Source organism: Homo sapiens, chromosome 9, assembly GCF_000001405.40.
Source record: "Homo sapiens chromosome 9, GRCh38.p14 Primary Assembly".
NCBI classification, from domain to species: domain Eukaryota; kingdom Metazoa; phylum Chordata; class Mammalia; order Primates; family Hominidae; genus Homo; species Homo sapiens.
In genome coordinates this window covers 114,339,194-114,359,224 of record NC_000009.12, presented here as the reverse complement: position 1 = coordinate 114,359,224, position 20,031 = coordinate 114,339,194, and the positions used below count along the sequence as shown (strand labels likewise).

Genomic DNA, 20,031 nt, shown 5'->3' with positions numbered 1-20,031 from the left:
TGGTGGTACACGCCTATAGCCCTAGCTATTTGGGAGGCTGAAGCAGGTGAATCTCTTGAGCCCAGGAGGCGGAGGTTGCAGTGAGCTGAGATCGGGCCACTGCACTCCAGCCTGGGTGATAGTGTGAGACCCTGTCTCAAAAAAAAAAAAAGAAAAAAGAATATCATTCTCTTTTTCTGTCTCTGACCTTCTAATGATGCCAAGGAGAAAGTCTCAGTTAGTGCTGTGGTGTCTTTTTTATTTTTCTTTTTTTGTACTTTAAGTTTTAGGGTACACGTGCACAACGTGCAGGTTTGTTACATATGTATACATGTGCCATGTTGGTGTGCTGCACCCATTAACTCGTCATTTAACATTAGGTATATCTCCTAATGCTATCCCTCCCCCCACCCCACAACAGCCCCCGGTGTGTGATGTTCCCCTTCCTGTGTCCATTTGTTTTCATTGTTCAATTGCCACCTATGAGTAAGAACATGCGGTGTTTGGTTTTTTGTCCTTGTGATAGTTTACTGAGAGCTGTGGTGTCTTTAATGCCTCTCTTGAACTTCTGTGGAAAAAGAGAGAGAGAGACAGTATGAGAGCACACAAGGCCTAGAGCATTTAGCAGGCAAGTGGATCTATCTAGTATATGATAATATTCAGGTTTCTTATATTTATCCTCAAAGTTAGTTTCTGTTTGTCACATGACACACTGATCTTCTGTTTTGAATAGTGATCTAAAATCTTTGGAGTAGATGGAAGTTTATGGAAATGACTGAAATAGGGAAGGTGGTATGCAAACTCCTTAAGTCTGGGAAATGCTGCTTTAACATTTCCTCTTTGGTGTTGGGTGGGTTTTGTTGGCATCCATATTTTATAGTTGAGAAAAGTGAGGTTGAGAGAGGGGAAGTGCCTTGCCCTAGGTCACACAGCTAGAAGGTGGCAGAACCAGGCTGGGCAGCCAGGGATGTCTGACTCCAGAGCTTGTGCCCTGGGCTGCTTGGCTCCCAGGACAGGCCAACCCCTGCGTCAGGGCTGCCTGGCAGAACTCAAGGATGGTCTTCTCTTCCCATGCCAGGGAGGCCACGGAGAAGATGGTATCTATGAAGCCACCAGGTTTCCAGGCATCCCTGGCTAGAGACGGGCACATGTCAGGCCTGGGCAAGGCTGAGGCAGCCCCTCCAGGCCCTGGCGTGCCACCCCACCCTCCAGGCACCAAGTCCGCAGCATCCCACCAAAGTAGTATGACCAGCCTGGAGGGAAGCGGCATCTCTGAGCGCCTTCCACAGAAGCCTTTGCACCGAGGCGGTGGGCCCCACCTGGAGGTAAGTCTCCACATGGGGGAATGGGCCCAGAACCTCAGGGTCATTCCTGGGTCTTCTCAACTTTCTGCTTCTGGGTCTTTCCTTGTGCTATTCCTTCTTGGAATACTTGCTGCTCCTGTCCCTGCCAGCCACAATCCCACCTGACATGCAGGACTTATGCTCAGTGTCACCCCCCAAACCTGTCCCTCTTCCGGAGCTCTTGTTCCTCCTCTGAGAGCTTGCAACCCATTGCTTATACTTCTCTGAGCCTGCCCATCACAGCTGGAGAGACTAGTTCTATGCTCTTTAGAGTAGACATCACTGCTGCAAAGTCACAGGCCACTATGGAAATGTGACTGTCATAGAATAATGCATATATATGCATGCATGTGCACTTATGCACAAACACACACACACACACACACACTTCTGTAGTCCTAACGAGCCCATGGTCAGGATTCTCTGCACTAGACATGAACTCAGCGAGGGCAGGCACCTGTGTTGCTCTGTTTGTGTTCTCTGTGCCGTGTGTTAAACCCAGCGGGTAGGACCTGTACATATTTGATGGTCTCGTTTTTCCAATGCCTTGGGCCTGAGCATTTCCACTGTCAGATAAGACCATAGTATTCCAGGCCTAAGCCAGGAGACACTGGAAATAAGGCTTTCTCCCTCTCCCCTTGCTAGTCCTTGTCCATGGCCTTGTCTCTCCCAAGGGCTCTGGCTGCCACCCCTCAGGGAGGCAGCACTTGCTGAGGGTCCTCCTGGGGTGCAGAGTCCCTGCTGGTAGCCAGATTCTTGTGCTGAGGCCTGAGAGCCTGAGAGCCCTCACTCCTGGGCCTGGCTGTTGGGAGCTGGGCCAGCAACCCTGGGGTGTGAGCCTCTGGGAGGTGAGGCCAGGCCACGATTTGGGAAGGGCTTCCCAGTGTGCCTTGGACACATTCCTCAGACATAAAGGGATACTGCCTCTTTCAGGAGACCTGGATGGCGTCCCCAGAGACAGACAGTGGCTTTGTGGGCTCAGAAACAAGCAGAGTTTCACCCCTCACCCAGACTCCAGAGCACCGGCTCTCCCACATCAGGTATCCCGGGATCCCGCCATTGTCCCGTCAGTGCCACATTCCTGGGACAGCCTGGGAATCACAGTGCCTGTGATGGCCCAGAATAAGAGAGGATGGTCTGTCCATTCGTAGGCCCTCATTTCATCCCCTAACCGTGATTTCTTGTTCCTGTGTTATGGACAGAGGAAACAGAGCTTCAGAGAGGGGAGTAACTAGTCCAGCCTCACATAGCTAATTAGCGACAGACTGGGAAATTCATTTTTGTTGAGCAAATGAATGGATGAATGAATAAAAACTACAGGGAGGGCACTGTGAGGTGAACAGAAGACAAGGGCAAAGGGCACTCAGGGTGGCTACATGGAACCCAAAGGGAAGGGAGAAGGCGGAGGGGACAGGGGTGAAGAGTGGAGGGATGGAGCCTCCAAAGCTGGGTGCAGGCCCTTCAGGAGGCCCACATGGCAACCCAAGGGTGCATGCAAAGGAAGGATTAGAAATCCTATTTCTCTTTTATGTATTCTACACATAAACTGAGCTTTATTATTTTGCATATTGGGTTGGCCAGTGAACAGTTTACAAAGAATTGGGCATCTAATGTGTGTGTGTCCTTGGAAATATTGTACCACCCGAGATGCAAAGTTACAAAGGGTGGGAGCTTATTGGGTTAGCATGTGGAGGGGCTCAGATGCTGCCGCCTGAGTGTCTCACTCTGTGTGACCCCTGTGTGTCCCTTCCTCCACGGTCCCCCAGCACAGCAGGAACATTAGCCCAGCCCTTTGCTGCATCTGTGCCCAGGGATGGAGCTTCCTACCCCAAGGCCAGGGGTTCTCTGATTCCCAGAAGAGCCACAGAGCCCAGCACACCCCGGAGCCAAGCACAGAGGTACCTCTCCAGCCCAAGTGGGCCTCTCCGGCAGAGGGCACCCAACTTCAGCCTGGAGCGGACACTGGCAGCCGAGATGGGTGAGTGCAGGAGTCTGACTTGGACAGAACTGCATGGGTTGAAAAATCAAATAGAAAAACTTGCAGAACCCTTTAGGATATGACATATTAGCCAGGTTCATTGTACTGAAATTTGAAATTACAGATAACGTGGACAAAAGGGAACAAAAGAAAAAAAAATACTCTGGAAACCATCAGTGCTGACGTTTTGGTGTAGAACCTGTGAGCTGTTCTCTGTGCCGATATAAATGTGTGTTTGTTTACACATACTGTCATGCACTGCATAGCAACGTTTTGTTCAACGACAGACAGCGTGCACGGCGGTGGTCCCATAAGATTTTCATGGAGCTGAAAATTCCTTTGGTTGCGATGTTGCAGTCATTGCAGAGCAACACTTCACTCACATGTTTGTGGTGATGCTGGTGGAAACAAACCTACTGCGCTGCCGGTCACATGAAAGTACAGTCCCAGCCGGGTGCAGCGGCTCGTGCCTGTAATCCCAGCACTTTGGGAGGCCGAGGCGGGTGGATCACCTGAGGTCAGGAGTTCGAGACGAGCCTGGCCAACGTGGTGAAACCCCGTCTCTACTAAAAATACAAAAAATTAGCCAGGCATGGTGGCAGGTGCCTGTAATCCTAGCTACTTGGGAGGCTGAGGCAGGAGAATTGCTTGAACCCGGGAGGTGGAAGTTGCAGTGAGCTGCAATCGTGCCATTGCACTCCAGCCTGGGTGACAGAGCAAGACTCTGTATCAAAAAAAAAAAAAAAAGTACAGTACAGGCCGGGCATGGTGGCTCATGCCTGTAATCTCAGCACTTTGGGAGGCCAAGGTGGGAGGATCACTTAAGGCCAGGATCACCTGTGGCCAACATGACAAAACCCCATCTCTATTAAAAATACAAAAATTAGCCAGGTGTGGTGGCTTACGACTGTAATCCCAGCTACTCAGGAGGCTGAGGCATGAGAATTGCTTGAACCCAGGAGGCGGAGGCAGAGGTTTCAGTGAGCCAAGATCGCACCACTGCACACCAGCCTGGGTGACAGAGCAAGACTCTGTCTCAAAAAAAAAAAAAAAAAGTACCGTATAGCACCTACGATTATGTACAGTACCTAATACTTGATAACTAATGACTCTGTTACTGGTTTATGTATTTACTATACTTTTTATCATTATTTTAGAGTGTATTTCTTCTACTTATTTTAAAAATGTTAACTATTTTTTTTTTTTTTTTTTGAGACAGAGTCTCGCTCTTTCACCCAGGCCAGACTGCAGTGGCACAATCTCGGCTCACTGCAAGCTCTGCCTCCCAGGTTCACGCCATTCTCCTGCCTCAGCCTCCCAAGTAGCTGGGACTACAGGCGCCCACCACCATGCCTGGCTAATTTTTTGTATTTTTAGTAGAGACGGGGTTTCACCGTGTTAGCCAAGATGGTCTCGATCTCCTGACCTCGTGATCCGCCCTCCTCAGCCTCCCAAAGTGCTGGGATTACAGGCGTGAGCCACCGCGCCCAGCCTAAAAATGTTAACTATTAAATAGCCTCAGGTAGTCCTTCGAGAGGTATTCCAGAAGAAGGTGTTGTTATCACAGATGACAGTGCTATTATTGCCCCAGAAGAACAAGATGTGGAGGTAGAAGACAGGGATATTGATGACCCTGACCCTATACAGGCCTAGGCTAATGTGTGTGTGTGTCTGTGATGTGTGTGTGTTTGTCTTAGTTTCTAACAGAAAAGTTTTTAAAGTTTTTTAAAAAAAAGTTAAAAATAGAAAAAAGCTTATAAGGATATCAAGAAAGAAAATATTTTTTACTTTACAATGTATTTTTAAGTTAAATGTTATTACAAAAGAGTCAAAAGGTTAAAAACCATTTAAAAAGCTTATAAAGTAAAAATGTTACTGTAAGTTAAACTTGATTAATTATTGAAGAAAAAACTTTTGTATAAATGTTGTAAATTTAGCCTAAGTGTATGGTGTTTATAAAGTCTACAGCAGTGTACAGTAATGTCCTAGGCCTTCACATTCACTCACCACTCACTCACTGACTCACCCAGAGCAACTTCCAGTCCTGCGAGCTCCATTCATGGTAAGGACCCTTTACAGGTGTACCATTTTTAAAATCTTTTATACCATATTTTTATGGTCTGTTTTCTATGTTTAGATACACAAATACTTACCATTGTGTTACAGATACCTACAGTATTCAGCAGGCAATGTTGTAGAGGTTTGTAGCCTACAATAATGGGCTATTCCATCTACCTCACATATGTAATAGGTGTGGGTAATCTATGATGTTTGTGACATGGTGAAACAGAATAACAATGTGTTTCTGGGAGCTTATACCCAATATTAAGTGATGCGTGACTATACTTAAAACAGAAATGAGGCTGGGCACGGTGGCTCACGCCTGTAATCCTAACACTTTGGGAGGCTGAGGCGGGTGGATCACCTGAGGTCAGAAGCTCAAGACCAGCCTGGCCAACATGGCAAAACCCCATCTCCACTAAAAATACAAAAATTAGCCAGACGTGGTGGCTGGCACCTAAAATCCCAGCTACTCAGGAGGCTGAGGCAGGAGAATGGCTTAAACCCGGGGGCGGAGGTTGCAGTGAGCTGAGATTGCGCCACTTCACTTCAGCCTGGGCGAAAGAGCAAAACTCCATCTCAAAAAACATAAAAAAAAAAAACAAAAAATAAGATCATTTTATATGTGAATATTTGGCGACCTCCTTTTTTCACTAAATTGTACTATAAACACTTTCCATGTCTATGAAATCTATATGTGATTCAGTTTTTGACCTTTAGAAATACACATGAATTATTTATTGAAATTAAAAACCACCAAAAAGAACTTAAATTGATGAGTTTTTACAAGGTGAACAGACACCAAGAAACTCAGTATGATCTGAACCCCAGAACCTCACTGAAGTCCCATTTAGTCACTACCTGCTTCCCAAACATAACCACTGTTCTGACTTCTGACACCTCAGATTAGCTTTGCCTAAAAGGTTCATCTTTTTTTTTTTTTGAGATGGAGTCTCGCTCTGTTGTCCAGGCTGGAGTGCAATGGTGCACTCTCTGCTCACTGCAACATCCACCTCCCGGGTTCAAGAGATTCTCCTGCCTCAGCCTCCTGAGAAGCTGGGATTATAGGCACGCGCCACCACGCCTGGCTAATTTTTGTATTTTTAGTGGATATGGGGTTTCACCATGTTGGTCAGGCTGGTCTCGAACTCCTGACCTTGTGACCCGCCCGCCTCGGCCTCCCAAAGTGCTGGGATTACCGGCATGAGCCACCACGCCCAGCTGGTTCATTATTTTAAAAACGTTTTTAATTAAACTTTTTTTTTTTGAGATGGAGTCTCACTCTGTCCCCCAGGCTGGTATGTAGTGGTACGATCTCAGCTCACTGCAACCTCCACCACTCAGGTTCAAGTGATTCTCCAGCCTCAGCCTCGCGAGTAGCTGGGACTACAGGTATGCACCACTGCGTCCAGCTAATTTTTGTATTTTTAGTAGAAATGGGTTTCACCATGTTGGCCAGGCTAGTCTCAAACTCCTGACCTCAAGTGATCCGCCCGCCTCAGCCTCCCAAAGTGCTGGGATTATAGGTGTGAGCCGCCACGCCCGGCCTTTAATTAAACTTTTTATTTGGAGATAATTGTAGATTCACATGCAGTTATAAGAAATAATACACAGAGATCCCATGTGCCTTTACTCAGTTTTCCCCAGTGAGACTATCTTGCAAAACTGTAGTACAATGTCACAGCCAGATGTTGACATTGATGCAGTCAAGATACAGAACGTTCCATCACCACAAGGAGCCTCATGCTACCCTTTCATAGGCACACCCACTTCCCTCCTGCCCCCAGCCTGTCCTTAACCCCTGGTAAGCACTAATCTGTTCTCCATTTCTATAATTTTATCATTTCAAGAATGTTCTATAAATAGAATCATATACTATGTAACCTTTTGGGATTGGCTTTTCACTCAGCATAATTCTCTGGAGATTTATCTAGATTATTCTGTGTATTAATAGTTAGCTCCTTTATATATTGCTGAGTAGTATTCCAAGGGTTTCATTGCTTTTATTTTTTATTTATTTCTTTATTGTTTTTGAGACAGGGTCTTGCTCTGTCACCCAGGCTGCAGTGCAGTGTCGCCATTATGGCTCACTGCAGCCTTGTCCTCCCTGGCCCAAGCGATCCTCCTGCTTCAGCCTCCCAAGTAGCTGGGACCAAAGGGGCATACTTCCACATCCAGCTAATTTTTTTATATATATAATTTTTTTTTTTTTTTGCAAAGATGGGGTCTTTCTATATTACCTAGGCTAGACTCAAACTTCTGGGCGCAAGCAATCCTCCCGTCTCAGCCTCCCAGAGTGCTGGGATTACAGGCGTGAGCCACCATGTCTGGCCAGTTCATTGCTTTTAATGCAGGGGACGGATTAGTGGTTTTTAACCTTTGGTCACCCATCCCTTTGGGAGATTCGTTAAAAGTTATTAATGCTCTCCCCAGAAACATGCATACGTGGAAAGAGGTGACTATAATTTCAGAGGAGGCTCTGAAGCCAGCCCCACAAAAACATGGTGAGAAGGTGATCAAGTCTTGAGGAACCCAAGTGAAGAAGTGATTAATTCTTTGCAGGGGAAGTTCCTGAAGACTCGGATGGTGTCATGGTGGGTGGGAGGAGGGGTTCTGGTTAGAAACAGCGGGGCAGGCCCAGCTCAGCACCCCACACTCCCAGCAAAATCTAGATCTTCTGGTTTGGAGGTCAGTGTGGGTCATTGGCCTCATCAGGAACTTCCTTTGTGACCTTGAACTAGGCACCGTCTCTTCACTTCCCCCATCATTCCACCTGCACAAGTGTGAGCTTGGAAGTTCTCTCTGCTTAAACTCACTTTGGGTTCTCTCTCTGCCTCCCTAGCGGTTCCTGGCTCAGAGTTTGAGGGGCACAAACGGATTTCTGAACAGCCCCTTCCCAACAAGACAATCAGCCCACCCCCAGCCCCCGCCCCTGCCGCTGCGCCTCTACCCTGTGGACCAACAGAGACCATCCCCAGCTTCCTGCTCACCAGGGCAGGGCGAGAGTAAGTTAGACACTTGGATCCTGGGGATTCAAGCTCATCATACAGACGGGAGCGTGATGCGACGTGTTAGCAGGTGGAGGTGGAGACCTGCCCAGCTCACACAGATGGTGGTGGTAGGAGCAGACGGACCCAGGTGTCCTGCCTCCCAGTTCCCAGCGTTTCTGTGGGACCTCATTGATCTAGACATCGAGGACACACTTCTCCAGCCAGTGGAATATGACCTAAAGATTCACCTTTCTGGTGCTGACACTTATGCCCTCTCTCTCCATCATCTCTTTTCCGAGAAAAGCCTGTCCTTTCTAGGGCTATCTTTTCTGCAATTTGACCATTGATTGTATGGACCAAGAAGCTACTGCCTTCTGAGTTTTTCTTTTCTTTTTTTGGTTCGTGTGCATTTTTTCTACTAAGAAAGTTCCACTTCCTTGGTTGAACAGAAATGGTAAAATCGCTTGGTCAGTTCTCTCACACCTCCTCTTAGTTGCTTTTGGCCAGTGATCACTTACACACCCTTGCTGGAGTGGGTGTCTGTCCCGGGATGCGCTGGGGAGACTGCTCGGTGGTGGCCCAGCCAAGGTTTCTTTGGCTCGAACAGGCATGAGGCTGTCATGTTGCCTACGTGCAAAGTTGTGTCCAGCTGCTGGTGTTTGGCTTCCTTGTCTGAGTTTAGTAAGTCTACCCCTGCAGCCTCCCCTGACATCAGTGGAGGAATTAGAGGCTTGTTTGTCTAGGGTATGCCAGGCCTTGGGAATACAATAGTGGACAAGACTCTATCCTAGGCCTCTTAAAGCTTACCATCTTGTAGGATGAACAGACAAAGAAACAGGCAGTAGTGCCCTCCATTGTGATAAATACCATGATGGCAGAGGACTAAAGGACTGTGGGAGCACAGCGAAGGAGCATCTGGTCCGGTTAGAGGCTTCAGGGAGGGCTTCCTGGAGGAAGTGGTATCTCAGCAGACATCAGAAGGAAGAGAGATAGAAGAGTATCTTCAGTGGAGGGAATGGCATGTGCAAAGTCCTAAAGGTGAGAGAGTGCCCATCACCTTGGAGGAGCTAAACGGTCAGCCAGATCCTCTAGTGTGAGGGGGTGGAGTGTTGAGCAGTAAAGGAAGAGAGGGGTAGAGAGGAGAGACCTATGGGAGATCCTACAGGGCCTGAAGGCCATGGGTAAGGGGAGACATTCACTGCATATTCCATGAGTGCACAAAGGCTGAGAGGACAGGGAAGGGGATTTTAAGCAGGGACGTAGCGTAGGCAGGTTTATGTTTTAGAGTTCTCTGGCCACCGGCAGGGTGAGAACGGAGACCAAGAGACTGCTGAGAAGGCTGCCACATCCAGGAGAGAGATGATGGGGACTGGGTTCTCGGGGAGGGCCCCTACAGAGGGGAAGAAGGGATTCATTTGGGAAGAGGTATTTTGGAAGTTGGGCCCATGAGACTTGGTAACTAATTAACTTCAGGGATGTTCAGGGAAGGAGGGGATCTAGAGTGACTCAGAGTTCTGTCTGGCTAGTCAGGTAGATGCTGCTGCCATGTGCAGAGACAGGGAAGTAAGTTTGCAGAGAAAGATGAATGTTAAGTGCCTGCTGGCACTCAGTAAGAAACTAAAGAGTTACATCAGAGAGACTGAGATACCCAAGTGGCTGACTCACGCCCCCGGCCTGGTAAGTCTTTTTTTTTAGTGCCTTCTGACTAGGAGGCGGAGCTCTCCATTTCAGGAGTTAACTGGGGGTGGGGAGATGTCACTCTCCAGTAGCCACCGCCCACACTTGCCCTCGTGGCTTTGCCTCAGAAACACCAGCAAGCGTCTCCCTGGGGATTACCAAGGGAACCCACTGCCCTCAGACACACACACTCAGCGCTGGGGCACAGCCAGGAAGAGGCCTCCACTCCTTCTGACACAGTCATCTGAGCGCTCATGTCTGCTGGAGGCGGCACCAGGGGATACTCACCCAGGAGTCCAGGGGCCACCAGGCAAGAACGGCCCCAGTGGGAATTCCCACCCCAGAAGCCAGACCAAGTAGATGTGGAGCCTGCATCCGCCTGGAGGGTGGCTTTGCTGAGCCTGGCTCTAACGCTGCTCCGTGGTTGAGGGGGTCTTGTGGGGAGGGGTATCTGGGTAGGATTGTCTGCTGCGGTGTCAGCAATGCCCACAAAACAAGACCCTGAAGATGCAGGGACTGATTGGAGAGAAACACAGACAGGATTTACTCCCTCAGTGCTGGTGGCTGGAGGTTGGACCATGTTGGGGGTTTCACCAGGATTTACTATAGTCTTGCAGACAGCTTCCAGCCTGCTCTTAGTCAGCCCTCCCGGTTCAGGTGGTGCTAGGAAGCATCGAGGTGTCTCCCTGTCCGCTCTCCACTCACAGCGCTTTATTCTGCTCCGTCTCAGAGCCCAGATCCACTGCAGTACTGTTTCCTGAGCATCCACAAGGTGCAGGGCCTCAGGGGTTATAAGACAGGAAGCCCGCTTCTTTCTTGTCTGCTGGCGGCTCACTGTCTGTGTGGGGAGATGGTGGACAAGCATCTTCTGCCAGGTCTGGAGAGATGGGCTTGCACAGTGGTAGGGAGAGGAGCTGGGCCTGGACAGAGAGTGAAGGTTGGTATTTTATGGCAGAACTGTAGCTAGGGCCCTCTCTATGCTGCATCCTTGTCTCCATCTCGAGAATTTGTCACTGGTGTTCCTGAACAGCCACTCAGACCCCATGTGTTAGGAAGAGAAAACTTCAAAGAAAAGTTCTGTTTTGTTCACTGCACAGGGACATGAACTCAGAAAGGTGTCAAGTTGTGTAGCAAGAAAAGTGTCGCACAGGAAAGTTCTAGAATCGTTTGACAGCAGAGATAGACCCTGTGCCTGCTGTGAAGGGACAAAGGCTGCCGCATCCTGGCATACTCGGGTGGCTGCAGCTCTGTTCCTCATGCCTCTGTTCTTTGTTTCTGTCTCCACTCCAACCCCAGCCAGGCCATCTGTGAGCTGCAAGAAGAGGTGTCCCGGCTTCGTCTGCGGCTGGAAGACAGCCTGCACCAGCCACTCCAGGGCAGCCCGACACGCCCAGCATCTGCCTTTGACCGCCCCGCCCGGACCCGCGGCCGGCCAGCAGACTCCCCAGCCACCTGGGGCTCCCATTATGGCAGGTGGGTGACCTCAAAACTCCCACCTCTGTCCTGGTGGCAGCTACAGAAGATAGTCTTGGCTGGCCTCTGGCTCTCCCCAGACATATGGACTCAGGCACTGCCACATCCCTCTCTCACTCATTCATTCATTCACTGTTGAGCTTGTTCACTGTGCAGTATTTGATGCACAAAAGAATATATAAACCTCTATGTTAATAATAAAGAATAGGCCGGGCGCAGTGGCTCATGCCTGTAATCCAGCACTTTGGGAGGCCGAGGCGGGAAGATGACGAGTTCAGGAGTTCGAAACCAGCCTGACCAACATGGTGAAACCCTGTCTCTACTAAAAACACAAAAATTAGCTGGGCGTGGTGGTGTGCGCCTGTAATCCCAGCTACTCAGGAGGCTGAGGCAGGAGAATTGCTTGAACCCAGGAGGCGGAGGTTGCAGTGAGCTGAGATTGTGCCACTGCACTCCAGCCTGGGCAACAGAGAGAGGCTCTGTCTCAAAATAATAATAATAATAATAAAGAATAATACAATGAATATCCCTAGACCCACCACCCAACCAAAGAGTTAGAACATTGCCAGCATGCCTTCACTCTCACCCATTAATTCGGTGTTTGTTCATTTATGACAATGACATAAAATCAGCTGGCTTCTTTTGAGTCTATGGGAGGGCACTTGATGAAGGGTTTTATGAACATTTTCTCATTAATCTTTTTATAACCCTCTGAGGTAATTGCTGTTATTATCCCCACTTGACAGATGAGGAAACTGAGGATCAGAGAGGCGCAGAGCCATTTTCTGTGAAACTGACTTCAGAGTCTGGCTTTGACTTCTATACTCTCTTCCTTCCATCGTGTTAGAAGCATTTCTCCAGGTTGAACTTCTCACAAATAACCTTTAAAGGCCACACAAAACCTCATCCAATGACATCATCTCTCTTTCCTTTTGCTAGTAAATCCACAGAGAGATTGCCTGGTGAGCCTAGAGGTGAAGAGCAGATTGTCCCTCCAGGAAGGCAGCGAGCCAGGTCTTCCTCAGTGCCTCGGGAGGTGCTCCGACTGTCCCTGAGTAAGTGACCACCTGCAAAGGCTGATTTCCAGAGGCCACAGTCTGAGCATGTTGGCTCAGTGGTCAGGGACCACAGCAACAGTATTCAAGGAAACTTGGAGAAGGGTTTTTGTGCATCTGTTTTAGGATATTATAGTGCTGTGAAGCACAGAGCACTTCTAAAGTCCTGCACACCTACTGCGTGTAGGGTGTCTGTAAGGGCTTTGTAGCTGCTGTCTTGCTTAACCTCCACTGCAAGATGGTCATATTATCCACATTTCACAGATAAGGGCGCTGAAGCCCAATGAGCGCAGGGGATGTGCTAAAGGATCAGGGCTCTGGAGTCAGTAGCCGGGATCAGCGAGCTCCCCTCCACTTGTCCTTGGCCGAGTTGTTTACCTGCTCTGAGCAGTTAAAGGGACAGCTCACCATGTAGTTATAACAGTGTCCACATCGTGGGATTGCTGTGAAGGTGCCCAACACGGCACACACAGAGCGTCTAGACTAGCGCTTGGCACGGGGGCAGGGTTCTGGAAATGCCAGCTGTTACTCCTAAGGGGGAGACTGGGGATTAAAACCCAGGCATCCACCCCAGAGCCTAAACTCATGGCATACCCACTCCTTGAGAAATGTGACCCCCACCCCTTGCCCCCTCTGATGCCCCACTTTTTCTACCCCAGGTTCAGAATCTGAGCTGCCCTCCCTACCACTGTTCTCTGAGAAGAGCAAGACCACCAAGGACAGTCCACAGGCAGCTCGGGATGGAAAGAGAGGGGTGGGCAGTGCTGGATGGCCAGACAGGGTCACCTTCCGGGGCCAATACACAGGTAGGTCAGGAGGGAGGGCCGGGATGGGTGCAGCTCCTGGTGTCAGCGGGGGCTCCTCTGTTATGAGAAGCCCTTTCCATATACCCAGTGGGCCATTCAAATATCATTTTCTATCAGTTCTGTGATATGAAAACCAGCAGGGAGCATTGCCTCCATGAATCTCGGTGCACTTGTTCATTCATTCATTCATTCATTCATTCAGCAAACACTTTCTGATGCTTCCCCTTTGCCAGGGCCCATGCTTGGTTCTGGGAAGTCTGTTCAGCTGGTCAATCCTAAAGAAGTTCTGATCACCTGTGCTTTTCCGGCTCGGAGCATACAGGGTGGACACTGAATTGGATGTCCCATTTGCACCTGGCTTCCTTCAGGTTCTCATTTCCAGAGGGCCCCTGTGTCTCAGGAAACAGGACCTGGCACAGAGTAAAGACTTGAGATGACACATGGTAGCATTTCAAGTGCTTATAACATTAACACAAAAATATGGGTTGGGTGTGGTGGCTCACACCTCTAATCCCAGCACTTTGGGAGGCCGAGGTGGGAGAATCACCTGAGATCAGTAGTTCAAGACCAGCCTGGCCAATGTGACAAAACCCCGTTTCTACTAAACATGCAAAAAAAATTAGCTGGGTGTGGTGGCGGGTGCCTGTAATCCCAGCTATTTGGGAGGCTGAGGCACAAGAATCTCTTGAACCCAGGAGGCAGAGGTTGCAGTGAGCCAAGATCATGCCATTGCACTCCAGCCTGGGTGACAGTGAGACTCCGTCTCAAAAATACATAAATATATATATATATATATATATATGGATATGGTTCTCACCTTCATGAATCTGACTGTAGCAGAGAAGATGATAACCAATAGGTAATTATAGTAAAGGCATCATCTCTCACAGACACCTTGCAGAAGAGGGAGGGCTGCTGACCTCAGATTCTGGGGACAAGGCAAGAGGCCAGAGGCACATTCTGCTCCATGGACCATAACGAGGGAGTGGACAGAGGCCAAGGAGTTAGAAACGACAGTAGCAGGAACACCTCCAAGCTCACCGGACAATCTCTCTGTGGACTTACTAGCAAAAGGAAAGAGATGATATCATTGGATGAGGTTTTCTGTAGCCTTTAAAGGTGATCTTAACCCTTAATAGTGAGCTTAACCTGGAGAAATGCTTCCAACACAATGAGAGGAAGAGAGTATAGAAGTCAAAACCAAAGACTCTGAAGTCAGTCTCACAGAAAATGGCTCTGAGCCTCTCTGACCCTCAGATTCCTCATCTGTCGCGTCGGGAAAATAAGAGCAATTACGTTCAGCTCCACATACACAAAGCCAGAACAGCACAGGAGGGAAATGAGATGATGAGACCGCTCCACAGTGGCTTCAGGTGTCACCCAGAAGGCCTTATTTGAAACTCAGGGGTGGGTAAGGCAGGAGGTGGTGGGGCTGGGTGAGGAGGCCACAGTCCGCCCAGCTTTCTCATAACATCAACTGCTTTCCATCTGCCAGGCACTGGGCGGAGCACGACACGGATACGGCCCCGTTCAGTTCTCCCAACAAGCCTGTGAAATGGGCGCTATGTTTATCCCCATGTTACAGCCGCTCAGAGCATGGGGAGAAAACACCACTGACCCTGTGCCCGAGCCATTCAGAACCAAACCAGCAAGTCGGGGTGTGGGGAATAGCATCACTTGTTCATTTCTTATTGTTGCTTTGCTTATCATTTCTTCCTGGCCTGCTTTCAAATCCTGACTTAGCCTGGGTGTGTTGGTTGCTACTGGATGTCAGCTGGTTCTAGGATCTGAGATGAAACAGAATAGGAGTCTGGAGAAAGCTTACAATAAACAGACACAAAGATGTTCGGTGACGTATATGTGTGTATGTGTGTCATACTTAAATATGTACATATTTTACACATGATGTGTGTATGCACACTCACCGTGTGCACACGTGAGAGAGAGACAGAGACTATTAAAACCATTTGGAGGAAGAGGAGATCATTATTCCAGAATCTTCCTCTATTTTGCATCCATCCACAGGGCTGATACTGACAGTTCTGGTTTCTTTCCCCAGGCCACGAATACCATGTTCTGTCCCCTAAGGCGGTCCCAAAAGGCAATGGCACAGTCTCCTGTCCCCACTGCCGGCCCATTAGGACCCAGGATGCGGGTAAGGAATGGCACCTGGAAAACTGGCCCAGGCAGCTGTGGCTGCAGCTTCTTGCCCTCAGGGGAGTGTGTACTTGACAAGATCTGGCCTGCCCTGAACTTAGCAGTGGGTTATAGGGACAGACCAGGGAAGAGGATTTTTCTGGGTGTCCTGCCGTCACATCTGTTGCTTCAGGTGCTGCTGCCTGAAGCCACCCTCCTTGATTTAAGAAGTTCCTGAAGGGTCCTGATAGGTGGCCTCCAGGCAGCAGGGGACCTGGCATCAGTGATTATGTCTTATTCTCCCCTCCATCCTCCCTTCACCCCTCATACTTTCCCCCAAGTCCACAGGAGTGGCAGAGAGAGCAGTGGCCCGATAATCCAGGCAATGGGTTCTAGTCCCAGTTCTGCCACTGACTTGCTGTGTGACCTTAGGCCAGTTCCTTGACTTCTCTGTACCTCAGTCACCACATCTATAATGAAAGGATTGGAAGAGATGGTCTCTAGGACTTTTCAAGCAATAGTGATGATAATGACTGATGATAATGAGCTGCCATTTATTAAGTCCCTCTCTGTAGAGGGTGTCATGTTAAGGGTTTTGCATAAATTAATCCTCACAGTTCTATGAACTAAGTACTGCAGTACTATTACGTCCATTTTATAGACAAGGACACCAAGGCTCAGAGAGATTAAGTAACTTGCCCAAGGGCACACAGCTTACAAGTGGTAGAAGCAGGATTTGAACCCAGGTCTTTGTGACTCCAGAGTCCCACCTTTTCACCACTATGCTCTTCCTGTGCTAGTGTTAGAGTCCTGACAGGCCTCTCCGTTCATGCCTGCATGCATTCATTCATTCATTCATTCATTCATCACTTACCCCTATGGGGCCCTGGGCCCCGTCCCCAAGGAACACACAACAAAGCAGAGTGGCCAAAGCTGGGGTAGGGGAGCACGAGTGGGGCTGGGGGGTGCCTGACTCTGCCGGGGTGGGTGGGAGGGCTTCCCAGAGGGAGTGGTGGTTGAGCCAAGGCCTGAAAGAGAAACAGACCAGCCCTGGAACTCACCCAGGTGTGGCATTGGGGATGTATGTGGGAAGAGAACAATGGCACCCACTCTCCTCCTGTTCCCTTTTGCCTCTACTGACCCCCCTGGTTCCCCAGGGGACTGTTCTGGGCCACTCCCACATGGAGAATGGCTCTGTCTCACTGTGGTTGGGGCGGGGGGTTGGGCTGCATTTGGGAGAGCCCGGGCTTAGGATCCAAGGACCACTGCTTCCCAGCTCTGAGACCCTTGGCAAATTACTTGACGTCTTGGACCCTTAATTTCCCCATCTGTAAAGTGGGGGAGTGAGGACAGTGGCTAGCCCAGTGGCTTGTTGGATTTGATAAAATAATGCAGGAAGGCCCTTAGCAGAGGGCCTGGCTCACTAAATGCTTGCTCTCACTGTCATGGTTGTTGTCAATGTCATCACCCAGATGGAGGCAGCTTGTCCCCTCCGCAGTGGGTCCCGAGGAGAGCTCAGTGCTGCAGAAGGCCTGCATGGGGGCTCCTGATCTGATGATTTAGATGTAATCCTCCCCTGACATCTCTTCCTCCTCTTCTAGGTGGTGCTGTCACAGGGGACCCACTGGGACCGCCTCCCGCTGATACCCTTCAGTGTCCCCTGTGTGGTCAAGTTGGGTCTCCCCCAGAGGCAGATGGTCCAGGCTCAGCCACCTCTGGTAGGGACAAATACTGTTTCTTCTCTTAGCCAGACCCTCAGCTCTCCTTGACCAGGGTTATTAGACCTGGGTGAGTTTAACTGGAGCAGCTGTTGTTCCAGTCTGGGACAGAGCAACTGGGGCAGAGGATTTGTTCCCCAAAGAGAGACCTCCCCGACATGGAGTCTCACAGGGTAGGGCCTGTCCAGCTCTCATAGGGGAAGGGCTGGGTGGACCCTCCATCTTTGGCTGGATCTGCCAAGTGGTCAGACTCTGTCTCTCTGTGCTGTTCCCTCCCTGATAGGGGCAGAGAAGGCCACCACGAGGAGAAAAGCATCTTCAACTCCCAGCCCCAAGCAGAGGAGCAAGCAGGCGGGGTCGTCGCCACGCCCACCCCCCGGACTGTGGTATCTGGCAACAGCGCCCCCAGCACCAGCCCCTCCAGCCTTTGCCTACATCTCCTCGGTTCCCATCATGCCTTATCCACCTGCCGCTGTGTAAGAGCCTTCATTCTGACCTTCCCAGCCTCTTTCTATAGATCACTGAATATGTTAGCATTCAGACCTGGGTGGGGCAGCTGAGATGCAGTATACTCCTCCTGTGTTTTATCCCTGCGTGGATAACATGCAGTAGGAGCCCAACACTCATATAGTCACTCAACAAAGCCAACACTCATATAGGCACTCAACAAACCCATGTACCAAGGAGAGTGCTCGGCCCTGGGACCCAGCAGTGAAGGGGACTAGCAAGAGGGCCCTGCCCTCTGGGAGCTTATAACTTTGTGGAGACTGAGAATCCTAACCATCTTCCATTTTCCTTATGGGTTTTCTCCGCAAGTAAGTGATGAGCACTGGGTTTTTTTTAATAGACTTTATTTTTTAGGACAGTTTTAGATTTATAGGGAAATTGAGCAGATAGTCCAGAGAGATTCCCACAATCCTCCTCACTCCTGCACAAACAGTTTCCCCTATTATTAATATCTTACAATAATGTGGCACATTGGCCACGTTAGTGAAGCAATATCCATACATTATTGGTAACTGAAGTTCGTAGTTCCTTCAGGCCGTTTTCCTCCAAAGTCCTGTCTCTGTTCCAGGATCCCATCCACGATCCCATGTGGTATGCGATTGCCATGCCTCCTTACGCCCCCTCGGCTGTGACAGATCCTCAGACCTTCCTTGTTTTTGATGACCTGGACATCTCTGGGGAGTCCTGGTCGGGAATATTGTAGGACTTTTTGCACAGATTCTGGACGTAACATCAGTCAAGCCAGGAGAGGCAGGGCAGCCGAGACAGAAGTGGCTTGGGTTTGGAGTTGGCCAGAGCTACCGTGGAGTCCCATCTGCCCCCTAGTAGCACTGTGGCCTTGGCAAACTAACTTCCTCTCAGAGCCTCCACTTCCCCATCTGTTAAATGGAGGAAGAGTCTCAACCACGTACTTAATCCTGTGCGTGAGGATTAAGTGTGGCACGTGGCAGGAACCAAATGAGAAGTGTGTGGAGTTTGTGGTGCCATTTGGTCACGTGCTCATTGCTGAGCAAACAGTAGCTTCGCCATCACAGAGAATGTTGCTATTGCTCAGTGTTGTCACTAGTAGGAAGAAGAAGGAGTAAAAGTGGGTTCAACATGATAGGATTGTGCAGGGACAAAAGCCCAGTCCCCAGAAGTAGGAAACCTGTCTTCTTGTCTCAGCTGTCAGCAGCTACTTCTCTGCCTGCTTCCCCTGCTGTGAAATGAGTCGATTGGGACTGGATGTCTTCAGTGGCTGTGTTGCCAGAAGCCTGGGTGTGTAGGCAGTGAGGGCCTGCGTCACTGTGAGGGCTGGTGCTTGGTGGAGCAGGGACCCAAGGCGCCATCCAGCCCTGGTCCTCTATTCGGGGACCAGGCCTATAAATGTGCTTTTAAAAATTTTTTATGTATATGTGTTTTCTGAGACAGGGTCTGGCTTTGTCGCCCAGGCTGGAGTGCAGTGGCGCCATCTTGGCTCACTGCAACCCCCATCTCCAAGATTCAAGCTATTCTCATGCCTCCTCCTCTCAAGTAGCTGGGAATACAATAGTGTGCCACCACACCCGGCTAATTTTTTTGGTATTTTTGGTAGAGATGGGTTTCGCCATGTTGGCCAGGCTGGTCTTGACCTCCTGGCCTCAGGTGATCTGCCCGCATTGGCCTCCCAAAGCACTGGCATTACAAGGTGTAGCCACCGCGCCCGGTATGTAAATTTGCTTTCTTGCTGCCCTCTCAGCTGAGTCTAAGCAAGTCGCTAAGGAATCTTCCACTCCAGCAGAGATGAGAACCAATGCTGCATGCTCAGACCTCCAGCAGACACGGGGGAAAGCGCCTGCCAGTGTTCCAACTCATTGATCGGGAAAGGTTTTGCCCAGAATTTGGTGACCCCACGGTAGCCATGGAGTCTTTACTTCTCCTGAGGCCCCATTTCACATTCTTCCAGGCTCAGGCCTGTGGGCAGAACTCACCAGGTTGCTGTTTCCAACTCAGGATGGGCGGGTTATACCTATGCCTCAGTTTCCTTCTCTGCGAAATGGGTTGTGCTGAGGATTGAATGAATTAATGCATGGAAAGCCCATAGTACATAGAAGTTGCCAATAATGATGGTGCTTCTAATGCTGCTAGAATTTGCGCTGGTGACACCCTGAAATTTCTCCAGCTGCTGGTCAGCAGGACTGAACGGGCCCAGTGGTTGAGACCAGTGTAGTTTGGAAAGCGGAGTGGGCCTGTGCTGCCCCCTGCTGGGCAGCCGTCCCATAGCCCCTGCAGCCGAGACTTTCCAGCCCAGAGGGACTTTTTCAGTGTTGGCCCTAGGGAGAGTTTTGGG

At 49.7% G+C, this 20,031-nt stretch overlaps 1 protein-coding gene across 19 annotated transcripts in view; it reads left to right on the top strand.

The window, feature by feature from the left end:
* Positions 1–20,031, top strand: part of AKNA (AT-hook transcription factor) — a 67,969-nt gene that overhangs the window by 39,248 nt on the left and 8,690 nt on the right. For 15 of the 19 annotated variants that reach the window (XR_929844.4, XM_006717294.2, XM_011519065.3 and 12 more), the window contains 10 exons: positions 1,058–1,304; positions 2,256–2,362; positions 3,089–3,300; positions 8,204–8,366; positions 11,325–11,501; positions 12,441–12,556; positions 13,216–13,362; positions 15,422–15,517; positions 17,100–17,216; positions 17,500–17,692. Coding sequence is in view for 18 of the 19 variants with exons in the window: in XM_006717294.2 (XP_006717357.1) it covers positions 1,058–1,304; positions 2,256–2,362; positions 3,089–3,300; positions 8,204–8,366; positions 11,325–11,501; positions 12,441–12,556; positions 13,216–13,362; positions 15,422–15,517; positions 17,100–17,216; positions 17,500–17,692 (1,575 nt within the window). In the remaining variant the exon portion in view is untranslated. Of the gene's footprint in view, positions 1–505; positions 1,022–1,057; positions 1,305–2,255; positions 2,363–3,088; positions 3,301–8,203; positions 8,367–11,324; positions 11,502–12,440; positions 12,557–13,215; positions 13,363–14,252; positions 15,220–15,421; positions 15,518–17,099; positions 17,217–17,499; positions 17,693–20,031 lie in introns of those variants that run through there. The other 4 variants (XM_005252248.4, XM_011519064.3, XM_047423926.1 and 1 more) reach the window with 4 other exon arrangements.